The sequence below is a fragment of the Homo sapiens genome, chromosome 3 (assembly GCF_000001405.40).
Source record: "Homo sapiens chromosome 3, GRCh38.p14 Primary Assembly".
Classification (NCBI taxonomy): Eukaryota; Metazoa; Chordata; class Mammalia; order Primates; family Hominidae; genus Homo; species Homo sapiens.
In genome coordinates, this window is record NC_000003.12 from 184,229,056 (window position 1) to 184,249,654 (window position 20,599).

A 20,599-nucleotide genomic window follows, 5' to 3' on the forward strand; every position below is an offset into this window, starting at 1 on the left:
TACCTGCAGGGATGGGGGAGGTTTTCTGCAGTGATGAAGAGCACTTTGCAAAGGAAAGGGGCCAGCTTCTTGGGGGAAGAGTCCTGCGGTGACGGTGATGGGGGGCTGGGGGGTTCGCTGCAGTCAGGAGGGAGGGTCTCTGCAGCGATGGGAAGCAACCCAGGGCAGGGGGTGGGGTGGGCTGGGGAATGGGATGCCGTCGTGGTAATGGGATAGCTGGGGTCGCGGCAGTGTCGGTGGCACTTGCAGGACGCCTGATTCCTGAAGAATGGAAAGGGTGGGGTCTCTGAGGCCTCGGTCCTGCAGTGACGGGGATCCGTGCGGCGGCGGGGACGCGGTCCCTGCACTGCGGTGCCCAGTCTGGCTCGGGCTGCCGCGGCTGGCGCGGAGGCGGTACCGCGCCCGAAGGAGGGGGGAGCGCCAGCCCCGCCGCAGCAGCAGCAGGCGTGGCCAGGGCAGGCTGGAGGGGCGGCCTCTCGGAACGGGGGCGGGACCACCGCCGGCAGGGCCCGCGCCCCTGCCGGGACTCAGAGCCGCTGCAGCCACAGTCACGAACTGGCGGCCGGCAGGTGCCGGGACCGAGGGCCACCCGGAGCGCAGAGGCGGCACCACCCACACGGATCCCGTGGGCACCTAGAACTCCGCGGAGGGCGCGACGGTGAGGCTGAGACTGCCACAGGGAGCGGGGCGATCCCCAGAGCCAGCCCGCGGCATCCCCTGCGCGGGCCGCGGCCACTGCAGGTGCCCCCTCCTCCCACATCAGCTCTGCCGGGGTAGGGAGCGGTAACCTGGCGGCTCCCACGGACTCTCCCTGGCCCGACACCTCTCCCGGGCTTGCCTCCCAAAGACCCCCTCTTTTCGCTTTCCCAGCTCGTTCTTCCCACCCTTAACCCCTCCACTCCGGCCAGCACCCCCGTCGGATGAGGCACCAGGGAGAGAAAGACCAAGGCCCTTTCGGCGCCCCATCCACCCTGCCCCCGCGATCCCTCGCAGGGCCGGGGGCCTCCGGGGGGATTCGGGCCCTTTAAACCTCCGCCTTCCCGGAGCATCTTCCATCTCCACCCGCGCCGCTTCCGACAGCTGGCGGCCGCGGGGGGCCCCGGGGGGCCGGCAGGTACGGGGGTGGCTGCGAGGTTGGGAGTGGGCGGTGGAACAGCTGTGACCGCCCCCACCCCCGGGGGAGCCGCGGCGGGACTGCTGGGCGCCGAAGCGCGCGTTAATCATTAACCCTCCGCGGCCCGGCTGCCCAGGTAACGCGTGAGGATGCCCTCCTCGCCACCACGCCTGCCGCCCCCTTATCTCCCCCGCCACCTGTCGCCCTCAGGAGCTCCCGCTCGGCCTCGCGCCCCGGCAGGCCCCGTCCGGGTGCTGGAGTGAGACTCTCGCGCTGGCCTCTGGAGCGCGGGGTGGGCGTCCCGTCACCCTGCGCCCAGCTTCCCCGGCCCGTTCCCGCAGGGCCGGCCTCCCGGCGCCATGCCCGGCCTGTACTGCCCCTCCAGCTGGACGCCGCTGCCGCTCACGGACTCCTGGGTCCGGGCCTGCGCCAACGGCCCCTGCCTCAGCGTGCGGGCCCGGCTCACCTACCGCAACCCGCAGCCGCAGCCGGTGGACGGTGAGGCCCGGGTGGGGCGCGGGCGCGGCGGGGGGTGCGCCGGGCAGGGTCCGACGCCGCCTCCCGCCGCCCTCCCCAGGCGTGTTCGTGTACCCGCTGGCCGAGGCCGAGGTGGTGTCCGGCTTCGAGGCCGAGGCCGCCGGACGGCGCGTCTCCTTCCAGCTGCAGAGCCGGCGCCGCTCGCAGGCCGCCTGCTGCCGCGCTCTGGGCCCGGGGCTGGGGACCCCGACGCCCCGCCGCTGCGCGCAGGGTGAGTTCCGCGCGCCCGCACCCGCGCTCCTGAAAGCCGGGCGCAGCTCAGGCTCCCGCATCCGCTCGGCCTCCGCCCGTCCCCCGCCTTCCTCCGGGCACTGCCTTGTGCATTCATTGGCTCATCCTGGTATTTAGCAGTCGTGGGCTGGGCACCTGACCTGCGCCAGGTGCTGGGAGAACATGGCCCGGAGGTTCACAGCCTGGGAGACAGACACAGCAGGCAGCACAGGGCTTGCGGGGGCGCCAGCAACCCTTACAGCCCAGGAGACCGGTCTCTCTAGGGGGCTGCAAAGGGAGCCTTCTCCCCTGGTGGTCCCCTCCGGCCCCTTACTATTTTAGGCTGCACACCTCAATCCGGCCCCGCGTGGGCCAGTGAATCAAGTGTAGACTCCTGTGCCTAGCAGCCAAGGCCCTCGCTCTCACCCCATTCCATCCCTCTCCCAGCGACCCCATACACCAGGTACCGCTGCCGCTGGCCACACTGACTGACAGGTCCTTTCCCAACTCTCTGCTCTGTCTTTCCATCTTCTATTGAGCAAATTCCTACTTGTCCTTTAAGATCCACTAAACGTCATTCCTAGGGAAACCCTCCCTGACTCTCCCACAAATAGCTGCACTGTTTCCTGGCTCCCCAGCCTTTTGTGCCCCCTCGTTATGGCACTTACAGGGGGAGTCATTGTCACAGATCTGCCTGTCTGTCTCCCCGCTGGAGCATCTCCAAATCCCAGCACCTCACACAGAACCTGGCACTATGAGGCCCAGCGAGTGCCCGGGGAAGGGACAGAAGCCCAGCCCTGTGCTGTGTGCTGTGCTTGCACCTGGTTCTTTCATTGATTCATTCATACATGGCTTTGATTCCTGCCCAGGGGATTTGCAATCCAGGTAAGAAGAAGAGGAACAGAATCCAGTGGTGTTGAGAGCTGGCATAAGCCCAGCACGTTAGGGGCTTGTGGTTAGAGGCTAGAGTGAGCTCTGGGCTGAGGCCCCAGGAATGTTCCAGAAGGAGGTAGAGCCAGCATTTGACTGCAAGAAAGGGTAGGACTCAGTTAAGTGGAAGGTAGGGGCAACAGTATAAGCAAATGCTTATAAGTAGGTTACAGTGGGTAATGACAATAAAATATCTCATGTTTATAGTGATTTACAGTTTACAATCGCTAGTATCACCTCATTTGAATCCCAAGTAGTGGGTAATGCAGGCTTCTTCCTGTTATGGGGGATGGAAGGGGGATAATCCCCCTTCCTCCTGTTATGGGGGATGAAAGTCATAGCAGGGGTCACTGACTTATATGTTGGGTGCTTTGCATACATTGCCTCATTTGTTCCTCACCACAATCACAGAGTTATTATGATCCCCACTTTATGGATGAGGAAACAGGCTCCTCAGAACAAGAGAGCTGCCAAAGGACTCAATTAGAGGTCACCGAGCTGATATTTAAAACTTGATGCTGTGCTGTCTCCACTGTGTCGGTTGGCTGGGATGGAAGCCCCTTTCTTTCTTTCCTTCCATCTTTTTCTTCCCTTCAGTTATTCAGCAAGTATTTATTGAAAGGATGAACAATTGGTCATTGTGAGGAAGTGAGGTACAGTAGGGCTGTGAACGTGGGCTGGGGCCAGACCACGTCGGTGGTGTACACAGCTGCCACTGTACATGGCTGGTCATTATTCCTTTAGCAGCCCCACCAGTCCCCAAACAAACCTAGGAGCTAAATAAAACAGTGTGTGCAGTGTGCAAATGGAGCTTTATGTCCTCCAGCCTGCTTCCTGCTTCTCTATTCCTCCTGCCCGGGAGGAGTAGAGAATTCTGGAGCCACCTTAGTGGGCAATGGGGGAGCTCCTGATGGTTCAGGAGCAGGAAATTTATGAGCAGAGTGGGGTCCCAGGCCACAGGGAGATGTCTATCCACAAGGGATGGTGGCCAAGGGTTGAATGGAAAGAGGCAGGCAGGGGGAGAGGGGCAGAGGGTGTGGGTATTCCCAGGGCCTTGAGAGTGGACATGGCCCCTTCTCCTCAGCCTTCCATTAGCAAGGATGTCACTGCTGCTCTTGCCTGATGACAGCCAGATCTGTTCACAGTTAGTCTGCCTCTCCTGCCATCATTCATCTCATGCCTCCATCCTGCGTCACCAATGCATTAGCCTAGTGCCAACACGCAAAGTCCCCCTTGCCCAGGCTCCCTGACCCAATGCCTGCTTCCACATCTAGCTTCCTCCCTCTCCTCTGCTTCCAGCATGCTCTGACCCCATTTCTCACCCATCATAGGTCATCTTGTCTTGGATCTGGCCCAGGCCCGGTCCACGTTGGTGCTGCCCACAGGCATTATCGCCGCGGCTGGCACCATGACGGTGACCCTGCACAGCAGCCGGGAGCTGCCCTCAAGGCCTGACGGGGTGCTGCATGTGGCCCTGCCCACTGTGCTCACCCCGCTGGCCCCGCCAGGCCCGCCGGGGCCCCCCAGGCCTCCGGGGCTCTGTGACGACAGGTTGGGCCTATGGTGATTCTCTTCGTCCCTCCCTCGGCTTCTCTGGGTCTAGTGCGGGTGAGGGGGCACTGGCAGGGTACCCAGGGATGGGAAGGGTGAGGAAGGGCTGGGGCCAGTCAGCCGGAGGGTTTAGGGGCCTTCACAGTGGCCCAGTGACCCTCCTCATGCTCCCTTCCAGCCCCACCAGCTGCTTCGGGGTGGGCAGCCTTCAGGAGGAAGGGCTGGCCTGGGAGGAGCTGGCTGCCCCTCGGGACGTGTTCTCAGGCCCTGCCCGCTGCCCTGCCCCATATACCTTCTCCTTCGAGATGCTGGTGACTGGGCCATGCCTGCTTGCAGGTGGGTGCATCTGGCTGGCCTGCCCTCTTTTCAGATGCCCACTCCACCCAGTGTAGTGACTGGAAGGGAAATAAGGCTCAGGGATAGGAGGGACACAGGACAAAAAGACAGGGACCCCAGCCTCCGGAACATCTGGGTTAGTGGTGGGAGCATCCCCTGGTCACCTCTACCCAACACACACACCCCAATTTTATCAAGGTAATTTATTTATATCTCATCCCACCCAGCAGTGGGAAGAGAGATACTTACAATGGGACTAGTACCTGTGATGAAGTAGGTTTTCCTTACACAGAAGGTGGGGGGTGAATGCTAAATCAGCACCTGGCTGATGCATGACTCTTCGACCAGCCAGAAACCCTGCTGGAATCTACTTCCCAGCCCATGAAAGCAGGCACATCCTCCCTCGTCCATCTGACCCCATATAGATCAGACTCTGAGAGCTGACTGAATCAGCCATGACCCCTGCCAACATTTGCTGTCCCTGGGAAGGTGTTATGGCTACATCTCCCCTTCCTGCCTCTATGTCCCTCAGGCCTGGAGAGCCCCTCTCATGCTCTGCGGGCAGATGCCCCCCCTCATGCCAGCTCTGCAGCCACCATCTGTGTCACACTGGCAGAGGGCCACCACTGTGACCGGGCCTTGGAGATCCTGCTGCACCCCAGTGGTGAGAGACTGGGACACACCGTGGGCCGGCTCTGACCTGCTTCTACATGAATGGGGGAAGCATTTCTTAAGTGCAGGTTTCTGGGCCCCAGCCAGATGGACTGAGTCATCTGTGAGGGCAGAGCCTGTGGTGCAGGAAGGCTGGACCTGCAGGCTCCTCCTGGACAGTGAAACTGGGCACTTGGGGTCCAGAGGCAGGGCCTTCCTTGACAGAATTGTGTCCTCTCCTCTCAGAGCCCCATCAGCCACACCTGATGCTGGAGGGCGGCAGCCTGAGCTCAGCAGAATATGAGGCCCGGGTGAGGGCCCGCCGAGATTTTCAGAGGCTACAGCGAAGGGACAGTGATGGGGACCGGCAGGTACCGCCATAGGAGCCTGGCCTGGCCCCTGGCCTTGGCTGCATTTGTGCACAAGGAGCAGGCAAGCAGGCTTACATTGGAATGGGTGCGGGGAGGCCTCTTTTCTCGGTAAGATCTCTCCACAGCTGCCACCAACCATCACAGAGGACAGATGAGTATTGTCATTGGAGGGCCGATGTGAATCTCTCTGGGGTGTGTCTCAGAGGATGGAGGCTAGGTCTGATATAAACAGAAGACAGCCACCTGCCTTTGCTCCTGCCTTTATTCGAATTACTACAAAAAGATGTCCCCTCTGGGTGGATCAGACAGAAAAAGGCCCCAGAGCCAGTCCCACTGCCCACCCTCAACAAAGTAGCACTAAGCCTTGCCCAGGCTGACTTGGGACTCCCCCGCTCAGGTGTGGTTCCTGCAGCGACGCTTCCACAAGGACATCCTGCTGAACCCCGTGCTGGCGCTGAGCTTCTGCCCAGACCTGAGCTCCAAGCCCGGACACCTGGGGACAGCTACTCGGGAGCTACTCTTCCTTTTGGATAGCAGCAGCGTGGCACACAAGGCCCGTGGGGGTGTGGTGTGGGCAGGCCTGGGGGTTGGGTGGGGCAGTGGGTCTGAGGAGGGCTGGGGGCAGCCTCTTGAAGCCAGGAGTTACCTTGTTGCTTCAAACACCATCTTCCAAAGAGGAAGCAGATGGCAACTCCTCAGGGGATTCCCTTAGACAGCAGCCCTGCTCCAACCGCCAAACAGACACTGTCACGCTCTCTTGCTCATATTCACGCACACACATCTCTCCAGGATTCCAAGAGCCTCTCACACATAGACTCGCACTCAGTCACAGGGAGTCACTCCAATCACAGGGACACTCAAGTTTCATGTGTACCTCCAGAGTCCCACACACAGCCATGTGTACCTCCAGAGTCCCACACACAGCCATGTGTACCTCCAGAGTCCCACACACAGCCATGTGTACCTCCAGAGTCCCACACACAGCCATGTGTACCTCCAGAGTCCCACACACAGCCATGTACACCTCCAGAGTCCCACACACAGTCATGTGTACTTCCAGAGTCCCACACAGTCAGGTATACCTCCAGAGTCCCACACACAGTCATGTACACCTCCAGAGTCCCACACACAGTCATGTATACCTCCAGAGTCCCACACAGTCATGTATACCTCCAGAGTCCCACACACAGTCATGTGTACCTCCAGAGTCCCACACAGTCTCTCACACACACTTGGGGGCTCACTGGCACACTTTCCCTCACACCCAGGGCCTCTCCCAGGTTACCACAGCCTCTCACTTGAATCACAGCCTGGATAACGCAGTGATCTGGCTTCCCTTGCTCTGTATCAGGGCCCATGGGGCCGGCCTCACGCCGCCCTCCCTGGCCCTCCACAGGATGCCATTGTTTTGGCTGTGAAGTCCCTCCCGCCCCAGACGCTTATCAACCTGGCCGTGTTTGGGACGTTGGTGCAGCCACTCTTCCCAGAGAGCCGGCCTTGCAGTGATGTGAGTGTGGTCCAGGGATCTGGGGGCCTTACAGAGAGGTTTCAGCCCAGTGCGTCCCAGCCTGTGCCTTCTCGCTCCAGGATGCTGTGCAGCTGATCTGCGAGAGCATTGAGACCCTGCAGGTTCCGAGTGGGCCCCCAGACGTGCTGGCTGCTCTGGACTGGGCCGTGGGGCAGCCCCAGCACAGGGCCTACCCTCGGCAGCTGTTCCTGCTCACTGCTGCCTCACCCATGGCCGCCACTACCCACCGAACCCTGGAGCTCATGAGGTGGCACAGGGGGACAGCCAGGTATGGGATGGGCAGAACCAGATGCGTAAGACTGAGCCCCCACAAGGGGCTCCTGAAGATCACAGCTGCTTCCTTTCCTTCATCAGATGCTTCTCCTTTGGGCTGGGGCCCACCTGCCACCAGCTGCTCCAGGGTTTATCTGCCCTCAGCAGAGGCCAGGCCTACTTCCTGAGGCCTGGGCAGAGGCTGCAGCCCATGGTGAGCTTGAGCCTGGGCCCTGTTCCCTACACCTGGAAGTTTTTCTCCCAAGTTACACATCAAGTCTGAAACAGAACTCAGGCAGGCCATGGGGGCTCCTGGCGCCCTCACCAGGCCTTCTCCCCACTCCAATCAGGGGAAGAGCTGTTGGTGCTGTGAAGGCCAAAGGTGTCAGGACACTGTCTCTGACCACCCTCTGAATCCCATTTAGTCCTGGAACGGAGCCTCGTCCTCACAGTCTTGCCCCATCCATGTGGCAAAGCTCAGGCCAGGAGACAGACCAAATCCTGAGGGCTGAGCACTCAGCCCCCTGCTTGCTCCTACCCTCATTCCTTCTCCTGACCCCAGCCTGGCCCTGTGCCCCATCAGCTTAGGGGCTGGGCAGATGGCATCAGGGGAAGGGCAGCCTTCCTGCTCTGTCTGGCCGTATGACACCTCTTTCCTTCCCATGTCTTCCCTGTGGCCACTCCCCACAGCTGGTACAGGCTCTGCGGAAGGCACTGGAGCCTGCTTTGAGTGACATCTCTGTGGACTGGTTTGTGCCCGACACTGTGGAGGCACTGCTGACCCCCCGGGAGATCCCAGCACTCTACCCTGGGGACCAGCTGCTCGGTTACTGCTCACTCTTCAGGGTGGATGGCTTCCGGTCCCGCCCACCAGGGGTAAGCTTGGGCTGGGGTGTGGTAGGGGGGCTAGGGTGAGGTAGGGGGGCCTGGGATGGCTGAAGTCCCCGCATCTCTTCCAAACCCTTTTTCCATTCTCTGTGCCTCTCTCTACCAAGCTTCTCTACTATCCCCTAGGACTCCACAGAGATCACACTGGGCCCCCTAAGATGACCACACCCTGTCCCCTTCATGGAGTCTTCCACTGAGTTGTCCTGCAAAGTGTTACCCCTCAGTTTTTACCCAAGGTCACTAAAGCACACAGCCACAGAAAACAGCACCTGCATTTGCTATGAGGTTTCCGTCAAGGCTTGCTCATGGCTTCACATAGTTCCCTATAGAAAGCACCAGCCAGCGTATTTTCTGGGACACGCAGTGATGGATGAGCATAACCTAGGCACAATCTCTAATCCCAGCTCTGTCACTTACCAGCCATTTGATTTGAGCAAGTCACTTCACCTCACTGACCCATTTCCTCATATGGAAATGAGGTTTTTCACAGGTGGTTGTCATCAGGGGTCATAAAGTGAGTACTCCTGGCAGAACACTTGACACAGTAGGAGCTGGGGACATGGTAGTTATTTTTTAATGAAAAGCTTTATCTCTTTAGAAGAACTCTGCACGCTTCCTCCTTTTTGATCATGAGAGCTGCATAACAGACTTTTTTTTTTGCCTGGCTGCCAGGGAGCTCAGGGCCAAACTTAAAGCTCAGCTTCCCAGCAGCTCTATTAACCCTTACAGTGAACATGTCTGCTTCCTCCTTCTTTAGTACTGGTCTTTTGTTTCTGGTTTATTAGCTTTGTTGCCTCTTGCTGTGAGCCATCTAAAAATGTTTGGAAAGAGGTAGCACATAACTGCAGTTAATTTTTTTCCCAATAATATTCTCTCTAGGGCCAAGAGCCTGGCTGGCAGAGCTCGGGTGGGTCCGTGTTTCCATCCCCAGAAGAGGCCCCGTCTGCTGCCAGCCCTGGCACTGAGCCCACTGGCACCTCAGAGCCACTGGGAACAGGCACTGTCTCAGCAGAACTGTCCAGCCCATGGGCTGCCAGGGACTCGGAGCAGAGTGAGTGCCCAGGTGTATGTGTGTGGCTGTATTGGAGTGGGCGCTGGGAGGGGTCAGGGCTAGGGCCCATTCTACTGCCTCCCAGCAGGTACTGATGCTCTGACAGACCCAGTCACGGATCCTGGACCCAACCCCTCTGACACAGCCATATGGCGCCGCATCTTTCAGTCCTCGTACATTCGGGAGCAGTATGTGCTCACCCACTGCTCTGCCAGCCCCGAGCCAGGCCCAGGCTCCACAGGCAGCAGTGAGTCCCCAGGCTCACAGGGCCCTGGCTCCCCCGAAGGTAGTGCTCCCTTGGAGCCCCCTTCTCAGCAGGGCTGCCGCAGTCTGGCCTGGGGAGAACCTGCAGGCTCCCGCTCCTGTCCCCTGCCTGCACCCACACCAGCTCCATTCAAGGTGAGATCCAACCCACATTCATTCGCCTTGTATCCAGCAAATATTTATTTACCACCTGCTGTGCACCAGATATTATGTAGAGTTTACTATTAAGTCTAGCTAGAGAGAAAGGTGGGTAAATCCCCAACGATACCATGTAACAACCAGTGATGAGCACAAGGACATGTATTAAGGGGGCTTAAAGTCAGGGTGACTAATTCTGCCTGAGAGAGTCAGGAAAGTCAGAGCCATATCTGGAAGAATAAGCACGAGTTAGCCATGCAGAGAGGGAGAAGACATAAACGAAAATACAGAGACAAGCAACAACCACAAGTGGGAAATAGGGAGTGGAGTGGGATGATGCTGGGAAGGGGCCAAGGCCAGAGGTCACTGTAGGCCATAAGGAACTTGGCCTTCCTCCTCAAGCTGGTGAGCGGCCACCCAGGGTTTCAGAAAAGGGGCATGGGCCAGCTGTGCACCCATGTATGATGGTCAAGGGTTCTGCATTCCTTGACCAGTGGCCCCCATATCTCACATGCAGGTGGGGGCCTTGAGTACTGAGGTGCTGGGCCGTCAGCACAGAGCGGCTCTGGCTGGCCGAAGCCTCTCATCCCCTCCAGGCCGGGCAAACCAAGTCCCCGGCCGACCCCGGAAACCCTCTTTGGGTGCAATACTAGATGGCCCAAGTCCTGAGCCAGGCCAACAGTTGGGACAAGGCCTGGATGACTCAGGTAAGTGTTGGATGGGGAGCTGGTTTCCCTGACACCAAAGAGGCCTTGGGGAGGTAAAGCCCAGAGGACCACTCTGCCCATGCCCCTGCTGTCTTGCCTCCCCAGGAAACCTGCTCTCCCCAGCCCCTATGGACTGGGACATGCTGATGGAACCACCCTTCTTATTCACGGCTGTGCCTCCTAGTGGGGAGTTGGCCCCTCCAGCAGTGCCTCCCCAGGCTCCACGCTGCCATGTGGTGATCCGGGGCCTGTGTGGGGAGCAGCCCATGTGCTGGGAGGTGGGTGTTGGGCTGGAGACACTGTGGGGACCTGGAGATGGCTCACAGCCTCCCTCACCTCCTGTAAGAGAAGCTGCTTGGGACCAAGCACTCCATCGGCTGACAGCAGCCTCTGTGGTCCGGGACAATGAGCAGCTGGCCCTCCGAGGAGGGGCAGAGACCACAGCTGACCGGGGTGAGTTGCTCATGGGTCCAGTCAGGACCCAAAGGCATGGGCTAAAAACAGCAAAGGTAGAGGTCTGTGTGTTTGATCACTCTCTATACCTCGCTTTGATCACAAAGGATTTGAGGCTCATCACAGACAAGATAAAAAATTAAGCGGGACAATGGGAAAAAGTAAAAATAAAAGGAAACTGAGAATGAGGTTATATTAAAGGTGCATGCTGTGAGGTTATATACTCTTGCAAGGATCAGATCCAGAACTGACAAGCTTCCTAGCAGCCAGCACAGAGGGCAACGTGATCCTGTCATGATTCACAGCACCCACAACGTAAAAACAAATCTTTGTCATTTAGGAAAATACTTAAAGTTCATTTCCTCAGTTGCACTAACCACAGCTGAAGTACTCAATAGTCAAATGTGACTAGTGGCTACCACATTGGATCATGAAGAGAGAGAACATTTCCAAGTTTTATTAGTGCAGAAGCAGGTGGAGGAAAATGTGCCAGCTAATGCTTCCTCTGGGTGTTGTCCAGAGTGCTGAATTTCTGGGCAGCCAGGGGGCTCTTGCTCTGCTATGGGTTGAAGATTCAGCCTGATCACTTCTTGTCAAAGTTGGGGAGTCTGAGCTGGTTCTGGGCCTAGCAAGGCAATCTACTCTGTTAAAGTCGATAGAGGGAGAAGCTGGGGAGAACACTGCAATTTTTTCTATGAGCCCTCTGTAGAGGGTGGGTGGTGGGGGCTCCACAGACTGCTCCTTGGTTCCACAGGCCATGCCCGGAGGTGCTGGCTTCGAGCCCTTCAGACAAGTAAGGTCAGCTCTGCCCCCTCCTGCTTCACTTGCCCTGTAGCTGTGGATGCTACTACTAGGGAGGTCCTGCCTGGGGCCCTGCAGGTGTGCAGCTCAGGTAGGGGCCTCTTCTGGTGACCTCTCAGGTGCAGCTCTCACCTCACTGGCCACTCTCCTGGACAAACCTGACTCCTGTCCCATGTGCCCCTGCAGAGCCCGCTGAGCCCCCAGGAACCCCTCCTGCCTCTCACAGCCATCTAGATGCAGCTCCTCTGCCCACTGTTGTCTACTCTAAAGGTAACACCCAAAGGTAGGGAAAGGGTAGGGGCACTTGGGCTTAGAGACCGCCCCCTGGCACTGATGATCCCCACTGCAGGACTTCAGAGAGGCTCTCCAGCAGGCGCCTGGGACTCGGACCAAAATGGCAACTCCAAGCGTGCTTTGGGGGACCCTGCCACTCCCACGGAAGGTCCTCGCCGCCCACCTCCCCGTCCTCCCTGTCGGCTCAGCATGGGCCGCCGTCACAAACTCTGTAGCCCTGACCCGGGCCAGGCCAACAACAGTGAAGGCAGCGACCATGACTACCTGCCCTTGGTGAGGACTCGGGAGGTGGAGGGTGGTGCCGCCGGGGCCGGGCGCTGTTTCAGCTCGCTTCTCCCCCCACCTCCTCTCTCCTCAGGTGCGGCTGCAGGAGGCACCAGGCTCCTTCCGCCTGGACGCGCCCTTCTGCGCCGCTGTGCGCATCTCGCAGGAGCGCCTCTGCCGTGCCTCGCCCTTTGCCGTGCACCGCGCCAGCCTCAGCCCCACCTCGGCCTCATTGCCCTGGGCACTTCTGGGCCCTGGTGTTGGCCAGGGTGACAGTGCCACGGCCTCCTGCAGCCCGTCCCCCAGCTCGGGCTCTGAGGGGCCAGGCCAGGTGGACAGTGGGCGGGGCTCAGACACCGAGGCCTCCGAGGGGGCGGAAGGGCTGGGCGGCACCGACCTGCGGGGCCGGACCTGGGCCACTGCCGTAGCACTCGCCTGGCTGGAGCACCGATGCGCCGCTGCCTTCGACGAGTGGGAACTGACAGCGGCCAAGGCTGATTGCTGGCTGCGGGCCCAGCACTTGCCTGACGGCCTTGACCTGGCCGCCCTCAAGGCCGCAGCCCGAGGGCTCTTCCTGCTACTGCGCCACTGGGACCAAAACCTGCAGCTACACCTGCTGTGCTACAGCCCAGCGAACGTGTGAAGGCTGCCCCCTGCTGCTTGGGCTGGCGCCCCACCCAACACACTCAAGTCACTGCCGCCCAGGGCTGGCCTCTTGGTGCTGGGAAAGTGTAGGCTGGTGCCAGCCTGTCCCCCACTGCTTCTTACTCCCTCCCTAGAGCCCTCTTGCCCCCACAAAAAGTGCCTGCCTGTGCTCTCTCCCTCTCCTCCCACCCCACTCACACTCCCCTCCATCCTCTGAGCTCCCTGCAACACAGTGGAAGGGTAGAGAGCCACAGTCCCCAAATCCTATGCAATAAAGTGCCTCTTAGGACTGCTTGAGTGAATTCTTTATCTGCTCCATACGTGTCCCTCACAGCCTGGACCAGGCATCGGCTGCCCCCACCTCCATGTAGGTTGCACAGAGTTGGACTTAGCAAGGTTTATTTGGAAGGGCAGAGTCCAACCAACCCCAGGTCCTGAGGGTAGACTCAGGTCCTGAGGGAAAGGGGTGGACTTCAGTGGGCTTTCTTGCTGTGTTGGGTGCTCTTGGGGAAAGGCTGCGGGCCCAGCCAGAGCTGCAGCAGGATGACGGCATGGCATATGTGCAGGGCAGCAGAGCTGCAGGATGTGGAAGGGTATGTGTTCCAGGAGAGCTCGATGAGCCCCAGCACCAACAACCTGGAGATGAGAAACAGGTTCCACGTTTCATCCAGTTGCAAGGCCTGCAGACCTGCAGCTCCTCATGCCCTAGACATAAACCCCCAACAGGAACTCCCTATCCCTTCCCACTCCCCCAGGTTGTCCCAGCTGGTACCTGAGCAGGTGTGTGAGCCAGCGTGCAGGCATGGCCCACAGGAGGTAGGGCAGTGTGTGGAAATACCAGACGTAGAACTGGTAGTGGAGGGAGCGGCTGAAGCAGATGCCAATGAAGTTGGAGGTGAAGAGGGTAGAAACGATCTGTATGCGGTGGTCAAGGCCAAGGGCAGGAGTGTGTGTGGGGGGGACTATCCCAAAACAGAGGGGCAATAGTTTTTAGGTCACATAGCCCTCTGGCTCTGCCATTCCTTGATGCATGCCTTTGGGCAAGTTTATTAACCTCTCTGGACCTGCTCCTCAACCAAATATGGAATATGGAGAGAGTAATACCTAGGGCCATAAGGTCTTGTGGGTTTGAACCCCTAACTTACTGGCTGTGTGACCTTGGTAAGTTACTTAACCTCATGAAGTCTTAATTTTTCCATCTGTAAAATGAGAATAGTAAATGTAAGTGTACCTCCCTGTCTCGGGGTCTCTTGTGAGCTTTCAATATTAGAACATATGTAAATCTCTTATGATAGTACCAGGGAGAAGTACTCATAAGAGTAGCTCGTATTTAGAATTAAGAATCAAATATCCTTCAATATGTGAAGTGCTCAGCACAGTGGTGCAGAATAGGACTTCTATGATTGGGGTCCCCTTTCCTCGCCCAGGTCACCAGCTGTCAAGGGATACCTGACCAGGACTCTGTCAGCACCTAGAGAGGGCAAGACTTACCTTCCCACAATTTAAAGGATATGGTTGGGTGTAAGGGGCTGGGGTGGAACCTTCCTTTTGGAGGGATCCCTCAGCAGCGACAAGATACTTTCCCCTGTCCTGGAGAAAAGCCATTCAGACAGTTATCAAGCCCCTTTTGTGAGTCAAACTCTAGACTCACCCCATGAGCTTAACTGACACTTCCCCCAAGCAGCCCCTAAGGCTTAGGCCCTTCACTCCTTCCCCCAACTCTGCCCATGGCACTACTGCCTTTTCTCACCTGTGCCACCTGCAGAGGGCAAACAGCAGGAGCAGGGTGAGGTGGGCAGTCAACAGGGCCAGGTGGAAGGCTCGATGCAGGAAGAGCGCCTCTGGGAGGAAGCGCCAGTTCACTGTCCAGTGGAACAGAAACTGGCGGCCAAGGTCAAAGGAGCGGGACAGGTAGCCGCTGGGGTTCTCCAGCAGGAAGGGCAGCCCCAGCACCACCTGAGGATTGGTGTGATGTCAGCAGAGCTGCCAAGGCTCATTCCCAATGACCAGCCTTCATGCTACTCATTGAGGGGTGTGGGACGGGGATGTAGGCCTCAGAGGTTCCCCAATTCCCACTAGAAATAGCAGGAAAACCACGTTCCCCACCCCCCGGCCCAGGCCAGTGCCTGGGGCCAAAGAAGCTCAGGAGGCAGGTCATAACAATGCTTTAAGGTGTGGATTCACCAAGTCATAACTGGGCAGAGCAAGGAAGGCTCTCAGAAGCCAGGCAGGGTGGCTCATGCCCAAAATCCTAGCGCTTTGGGAGGCCAAGGCAGGAGGATTGCTTGAGCCCAGGAGTTTGAGACCAGCCTGGGCAACCCAGCAAGAGCCCATCTCAAAACTTAAAATTAAAAAAAGCAAAAAGGCTCTCAGAGACCATCAAATTTAATACCCTATTTTACAGCTATGGAAACTACAGCCTAGCGATAGTGGCTCCCTAGCTCAGAATCAACTCCAAAACCCTGTCTCTTGGCTTTGAGGGAGTCTCAGGGATAGAGCCCCTCAATCAAGACAAGTGGCTTCTCCTTGATTAGAAAGAGGAAGGGTGAGATGGGGGTACCTGAAGGCCAGCACAGATTCCCAGCTTGGGGAGGGCCCCACGGAAGCCAAACTGTGTGAGGAGAAGAAACAGTAACCCAGGGGCGAAGAGCAGCACATTCATCTTCACAGAGACTGCCAGGCTGGGGTGAGCAGGGGAGAGGAAGGGTGGAGATCAGCTCCAGGGCCATGCACACAACACCCAAAGACATACCCCCCACCATCACCACAGCAACCTCCCCCCCGCCGCCACGCCAACAAACTCCAAGATGGGACCTACACTCACAACTGTTGGAGGGAAGAGCCTGGAGTAGGCAGGAGGCAGATACATAGTCTCTATGCCTACTAGATGCGAATGAGCATATACTGAGTATTTAGAATGTGAAGGACTAATTCCAACAAGGAATGCTGTCTGGGAGGAAGACAGGATGGAAAGAGGGCATGTGTGTATGTTGGGGGATGGCAGGGCAGAAACTTTCTATAGATCCTGGACTCGCTTTGTGGAGCCCTGAGTGACCCATGCTGTCTTGGCTACTCCTTTACTCCCTCTGCTGCAGGAAATTGGGAAGAGATGGAAATGCAGAAAACGAGAGGGGACCAGAAAGGAAGAGGTGTTGACCTGAAAAAGCAGCAACCCCAGCCCCAGCGCTGGGCCAGCAGGAGGTTGATACTGAGGAAGAGCAGCACCATGGCCACTGGGTCATTGAAGAGCCGCAGCACAAAGATGGAGTGGACACGGTAAGAGGCGCAGCACATGAAGAAAAAGACGAAGGGAGGTACCTAAAGGGAAAACACAGTAAGGTACAAGGTCAGCTCAGCAAGCCTGAGCCATCCCCACCACCCAGCCCTCCCAGGCTGGGGCCCTCTAGCCCTGGTAGCATGGACTCACCTTGCAGGTCTGGTGATAGATCAAGAAGACAAGCAGCAAGGTAGCCAGGTAGAGCACAGCAAAGATGTTCTGGGCCATGCGGATGTCAGTGCCTCGGCTGGTGGCATAGTACAACCCCATAAAGATGTACACGAAACCAGCTGGGTACCTGGAAGATGAGAGAAAATGTGAGCCTGGGTCAGGTCACACAGACTAGTACCTAACCAGCCCCTCACATCCTCCCTGAACTTCCTGTCCCCACTCACACAAGTGGTCCGGTGTCACCCTGCAGTTGGGTATAGTCATAGGTACCATTGATGACGCCTTCTACCTCGGCCATGTAGGCCTTCCAGTCAATCTCTGTGTCTGGAAGAAGACAAGATGATCTGGTTACTTCTGAGTCTAGAACTTGTCTGCCACCCTCCCCATGCCTCCAGACCATCAAAACACAGACTTTCAGCCAATTCCCAGGGCTTTACTACCTCTTAATCTAACTCTTTATCTGACATTCTCTGGGTGAGCCCAGGCATCTCAAACTCAACATTTCTATAAGTGAATTTGTGATCTTTCTTCCCATTCCAATCTACTCCTTTTCCTGGGTTCCGCAAATGGCACCACCGACCTCTTAGCTACCAGGTCACGAACCTGAGTAACATCTTTGATACTCCCTCCTCTCTCATTTGCAACCCTTCGTCAACAAGTTCTGCCTGTTCCTCACCGTAAATATCTCTATCTCATCCTTCTCTGCTACTACATACTCAAATTTGAGCCTAAAGTAATCTCTAGCCCCAATGAGTATACAATAGCCTGCTAATTAGGCTCCTGACTTCTACTTTCACCCTGCTACAATATATTTTCCACCTCGTACACCAAAGAGCTCCTCCTAAAATACAAATCATAACAGGCCTCTGCTTAAAACCTCTCAATGATTCCCCAAGACCCTTAAGATAAAGAAAACTCTGTATTATTCCCATTTTTTGAAGGGGAGCCTAAGAATTAATTAGGTTAAGTGACTGGCTTAAGATAATTGAGCTAGGATGGTGGAGTTGGGATTGAAGCTTGCAGGGTCCCAAGTTCTTAATTATCATGCTATCTTCTTAACAAAGCTTTCAAATTCCTTCATGATCTGGCCTCAGTTTCTGCATTCCCATCTCTTACTACTCCCTTCACTTGATTTCTACACTCTAGCTCTAAAAAAATCATTTCAGTTCCTCAAAGGAACCAGGCTGTCTTCTTTTTTTTTTTTTTTTGACAGAGTCTCACTCTGTCACCCAGACTGGAGTGCAGTGGTACGATCTCAGCTCACTGCAACCTCCGCCTCCCGGGTTCAAGTGATTCTCCTGCCTCAGTCTCCCGAGTAGCTGGGACTACAGGTGTGTGCCACCATGCTTGGCTAATTTTTTAAGTTTTGTATTTTTAGTAGAGATGGGGTTTCACCGTGTTGGCCAGGCTGGTTTGTTTGTTTGTTTTTCTTTTGAGACAGGGTCTCGCTCAGCCACCCAGGCTGGAGTGCAGTGGTGCGATCTCAGCTCACTGCAACCACCATCTCCCCGGTTCGAGCCATTTTCCCATCTCAGCCTCCCAAGTAGCTGGGATTACAGGCACTTGCCATCATGCCCAGCTAATTTTTCTATTTTAGTAGAGACAGGGTGTCAACATATTGGCCAGGCTGGTGTTGAACTCCTGACCTCAGGTGATCTGCCCGCCTCGGGCTCCCAAAGTGCTAGAATTACAGGCATAAGCCACCGTGCCCAGCCAGGCTGGTCTTTAACTCCTGCCCCCAAGTGATCCGCCCACCTCAGCCTCCCAAAGTGCTGGGATTACAGGCATGAGCCACCGTGCCCAGTCTAACTGAATTTTTTTTTTTTTTGACACGGAGCTTGCTCTGTCACCCAGGCTGGAGTACAGTGGCGCAATCTCGGCTCACTGCAACCTCCACCTCCCGGGTTCAAGCAATTCTCCTGTCTCAACCTCCCGAGTAGCTGGGATTACAGGCATATGCCACCACGCCCAGCTAATTTTTGTATTTTTAGTAGAGACAGGATTTCATCATGTTGGCCAGGCTGGTCTCAAATTCCTGACCTCAGGAGATCCACCCGCCTAGGCCTACCAAAGTGCTGGGATTACAGGCGTGTGCCGCTGCGCCCAGCCTAGCTGGAGATTTTTAATAGAGGATCCTCTGTCCACAGCACTCCTTCCCCTCACCTTTTTCTTCTTTCCTTAAATAGCTAATTCCTACCTTCCAAGGGTGGCTCTATGAAGCCTTTGCTGACTCCTCCAACCTGGTTTAAGTGACTTCCTATGCCCTTTATGGTATCCTGTGTTACTACTACCATGATTATGATGCATTATAATTGCCTGCTAACTTACTGTCCAGGCCCGAGTTAGAAATGCATCCTTTTTCTTTTTTTTTTTTTGAGACGGAGTCTTGCTCTGTCGCCCAGGCTGGAGTGCAGTGGCGTGATCTCGGCTCACTGAAAGCTCTGCCTCCCGGGTTCACGCCATTCTCCTGCCTCAGCCTCCCGAGTAGCTGGGACTACAGGCGCCCGCCACCATGCCCGGCTAAATTCTTTTTTTTTTTTTTTTTTCAGTAGAGACGGGGTTTCACCGTGTTAGCCAGGATGGCCTCGATCTCCTGACCTCGTGATCCGCCCGCCTCGGCCTCCCAAAGTGCTGGGATTACAGGCGTGAGCCACCGCGCCCGGCAGAAATGCATCTCTTATTCACCACTGTACCTCTCTCTGGTAACCAGCATAATGCTAGGCATATAATAAGCACTAAATAAATATTTGTTGAATTAAGAGTCTTTAGCAAGAAAGCCAAGTGCCTTAAGCCTAGAGTATAGTTTCAGCCTGGAAAGGAGTAGCCAATAATGCCTAATGGACTCAAGTGGTCACAAGATGCCATCATTGAGAAGGGACGTTCAAAGATCACAGAACTGAACACATGGAAAAAGCTGAGATCCAGGAGGAGACCTGAGGTGTCCAAAGCCACAGAGAAAAGCAGCAGCAGCAGCAGTACAACAATTTTGGCTCAAATCTGACTTCTAAGCTGGTTTGCAGGCTGTAAGTTCAGTGCAGAAGGCCAATCTCTAGGGTATCCACCTCTGCCATGCGGGCAGATTAAGATCCGGTTTTCTGTAGAGCAGGCTTGGCGCTCAGGTAAGGGATATGGATGGGTTCGCAATTGACGAGTGAGTGGATACAGAGTCTGGTTTGGAGTTCCAGGTCTGAGATCCAGTTTGGGTCGCGGGTTCAGGTCTCCCTCCCTCCCCTCCCCTCCCCCTCGGCGCACTCACATGCCACCCTGTGAATGACCCAGAAGGTGATGCCCACCTCCGCCAGGCAGAGGCAGGCGGCCACCAGCAGCGTGTAGCGCGGCTCCCGCAGCAGCAGGCGCCGCTCTTGCCAGGCGCGCTGCAGCCATTGCTTGCAGAGTCCCTCTGCCTGGGCCGCGGAACCGGACCGGCCGCGTTTCCGCAGCCCAGCCGCCATCTTAACGGTGCGCCGCTTGTGTGGGCCCACCACCCCCGGAAACCCGAACCTTCGACACTTAGGTTCCGCTTCCCGTGCCTGGCGTCCCACCAGGCTAAGCGCCGATCCGAGTAGCCAGTCTTCATTTACTCCACTAAAATGTAATTTTTCTGCATTTGTCTCCTCTGATGCACTCCACGCTCCATAGGAGCAGGGACAATGTCTTACTCCTCAGTTTATACCCAGCCCTGGGTACACAGGCGCTAATTTAGAACGAATGTCCAGAAAAGCAACATTCCTGCCTACCTCCCCCACAACCGCTGAAGCCAGCATTCTCCTTCGCCTGCGCTGGGAACATCTGTGTTCATGCTGTCTCTCCAGGAGGGCAAAGCCCCTGTTCGCGCCCCTCCTGCCTGCCCTTCGAGCCTTCCGGATGCTGAGAAAAATGAACCTTTCACTAATTTTCAGATTTCCTGATAAAAGTCATTCATATTGAAAATATGAGAGGACGCAGTGATGAGCCCACGTGAGTCTGACACCTTGAGTGCGGCCCTAGGAAATGACTTGGCAGTACAGCCGGAGGATTCAGGGTCTGGACGATAGTTTTCCCAGCCGGAGGATTCTTCGAAGAGCGCTTAGTAAAGGACGGAAGTTCCACGTGTTTGTGTTGAGCAACTGCAGGTGGTGGGCGGAGACACCAGCGCCCCGCCTTCTGCATCCTGCCTTCCGTATTGG

The 20,599-nt window shown here is 56.7% G+C and overlaps 2 protein-coding genes and 1 non-coding gene across 15 annotated transcripts, besides 7 other annotated features; 2 read left to right on the forward strand and 1 right to left on the reverse strand.

Annotated features, from left to right (window-relative positions):
• Window positions 298-637: a silencer, noted in NCBI's record as "silent region_14958". NCBI's record gives its function as "represses an Ori minimal core promoter by ATAC-STARR-seq in GM12878 lymphoblastoid cells {active_cell/tissue: GM12878}" and the evidence as "EXISTENCE:reporter gene assay evidence [ECO:0000049][PMID:35858748]".
• VWA5B2 (von Willebrand factor A domain containing 5B2) lies at window positions 530-13,274 on the forward strand. Of its 10 annotated transcripts, none has more exons than NM_001320373.3 (20): window positions 530-741; window positions 1,325-1,612; window positions 1,692-1,862; window positions 4,123-4,399; window positions 4,521-4,678; window positions 5,211-5,342; window positions 5,576-5,700; window positions 6,098-6,253; window positions 7,097-7,207; window positions 7,288-7,496; window positions 7,583-7,694; window positions 8,171-8,356; window positions 9,248-9,419; window positions 9,505-9,818; window positions 10,339-10,528; window positions 10,634-10,981; window positions 11,736-11,873; window positions 11,969-12,052; window positions 12,132-12,349; window positions 12,435-13,274. In NM_001320373.3, exons 5-20 carry the CDS (start codon window positions 4,648-4,650, stop codon window positions 12,981-12,983), a joined length of 3,075 nt encoding a protein of 1,024 aa, NP_001307302.1. In that variant the 5' UTR covers window positions 530-741; window positions 1,325-1,612; window positions 1,692-1,862; window positions 4,123-4,399; window positions 4,521-4,647; the 3' UTR covers window positions 12,984-13,274. The 10 variants fall into 10 exon arrangements, with proteins under 10 accessions (NP_001307302.1, NP_001377771.1, NP_001377773.1 ...); NM_001390842.1 differs by having other exon boundaries at window positions 4,123-4,354; NM_001390844.1 differs by having other exon boundaries at window positions 4,123-4,342.
• On the forward strand, window positions 12,350-12,434 carry MIR1224 (microRNA 1224). The gene has a single exon (NR_030410.1). It is a non-coding gene; the product is annotated as a microRNA 1224 (primary transcript).
• Window positions 12,866-13,160: a silencer, noted in NCBI's record as "tiled region #15257; HepG2 Repressive DNase unmatched - State 25:Art". NCBI's record gives its function as "represses a minimal TATA promoter and a strong SV40 promoter by Sharpr-MPRA in HepG2 cells {active_cell/tissue: HepG2}" and the evidence as "EXISTENCE:reporter gene assay evidence [ECO:0000049][PMID:27701403]".
• Window positions 13,246-20,470, reverse strand: ALG3 (ALG3 alpha-1,3- mannosyltransferase). 4 transcript variants are annotated; one of them, NM_005787.6, is made up of 9 exons: window positions 19,690-19,907; window positions 16,658-16,757; window positions 16,413-16,560; window positions 16,143-16,303; window positions 15,546-15,666; window positions 14,736-14,941; window positions 14,499-14,575; window positions 13,758-13,902; window positions 13,246-13,621 (listed from the first exon to the last, which is right to left on the reverse strand). In NM_005787.6, the coding sequence occupies exons 1-9, from the start codon at window positions 19,883-19,885 to the stop codon at window positions 13,459-13,461; spliced, it is 1,317 nt and encodes a 438-aa protein (NP_005778.1). In that variant the 5' UTR covers window positions 19,886-19,907; the 3' UTR covers window positions 13,246-13,458. The 4 variants fall into 4 exon arrangements, 2 of the variants coding, with proteins under 2 accessions (NP_005778.1, NP_001006942.1); NR_024534.1 differs by having other exon boundaries at window positions 13,274-13,621; window positions 19,727-19,916; NM_001006941.2 differs by lacking the exon at window positions 19,690-19,907 and adding an exon at window positions 20,171-20,470 and having other exon boundaries at window positions 13,274-13,621.
• Window positions 18,488-19,231: an enhancer, noted in NCBI's record as "H3K27ac-H3K4me1 hESC enhancer chr3:183965331-183966074 (GRCh37/hg19 assembly coordinates)". NCBI's record gives its function as "activates a minimal SCP1, AML or CMV promoter by ChIP-STARR-seq in primed H9 embryonic stem cells {active_cell/tissue: H9 hESC(primed)}" and the evidence as "EXISTENCE:reporter gene assay evidence [ECO:0000049][PMID:30033119]".
• Window positions 19,232-19,975: an enhancer, noted in NCBI's record as "NANOG-H3K27ac-H3K4me1 hESC enhancer chr3:183966075-183966818 (GRCh37/hg19 assembly coordinates)". NCBI's record gives its function as "activates a minimal SCP1, AML or CMV promoter by ChIP-STARR-seq in primed H9 embryonic stem cells {active_cell/tissue: H9 hESC(primed)}" and the evidence as "EXISTENCE:reporter gene assay evidence [ECO:0000049][PMID:30033119]".
• Window positions 20,174-20,223: an enhancer, noted in NCBI's record as "active region_20905". NCBI's record gives its function as "activates an Ori minimal core promoter by ATAC-STARR-seq in GM12878 lymphoblastoid cells {active_cell/tissue: GM12878}" and the evidence as "EXISTENCE:reporter gene assay evidence [ECO:0000049][PMID:35858748]".
• Window positions 20,304-20,363: an enhancer, noted in NCBI's record as "active region_20906". NCBI's record gives its function as "activates an Ori minimal core promoter by ATAC-STARR-seq in GM12878 lymphoblastoid cells {active_cell/tissue: GM12878}" and the evidence as "EXISTENCE:reporter gene assay evidence [ECO:0000049][PMID:35858748]".
• Window positions 20,394-20,503: an enhancer, noted in NCBI's record as "active region_20907". NCBI's record gives its function as "activates an Ori minimal core promoter by ATAC-STARR-seq in GM12878 lymphoblastoid cells {active_cell/tissue: GM12878}" and the evidence as "EXISTENCE:reporter gene assay evidence [ECO:0000049][PMID:35858748]".

What these genes read in the sequence shown, in the direction of transcription:
- ALG3 (NM_005787.6), bottom strand. Translation starts at nt 19,885, where the DNA reads ATGGCGGCTGGGCTGCGGAAACGCGGCCGGTCCGGTTCCGCGGCCCAG. An exon ending in GGTCATTCACAGGGTGGCAT is followed by an intron (nt 16,758 to 19,689) that starts GTGAGTGCGCCG and finishes GTCTTCTTCCAG; the next exon opens with ACACAGAGATTGACTGGAAG. An exon ending in GAATCTGTGCTGGCCTTCAG is followed by an intron (nt 14,942 to 15,545) that starts GTACCCCCATCT and finishes ACCAATCCTCAG; the next exon opens with GTGGTGCTGGGGCTGCCCTT.
- VWA5B2 (NM_001390842.1), top strand. Translation starts at nt 1,474, where the DNA reads ATGCCCGGCCTGTACTGCCCCTCCAGCTGGACGCCGCTGCCGCTCACG. An exon ending in GCAGCAGCGTGGCACACAAG is followed by an intron (nt 6,254 to 7,096) that starts GCCCGTGGGGGT and finishes GGCCCTCCACAG; the next exon opens with GATGCCATTGTTTTGGCTGT. An exon ending in CACTGTTGTCTACTCTAAAG is followed by an intron (nt 12,053 to 12,131) that starts GTAACACCCAAA and finishes TCCCCACTGCAG; the next exon opens with GACTTCAGAGAGGCTCTCCA.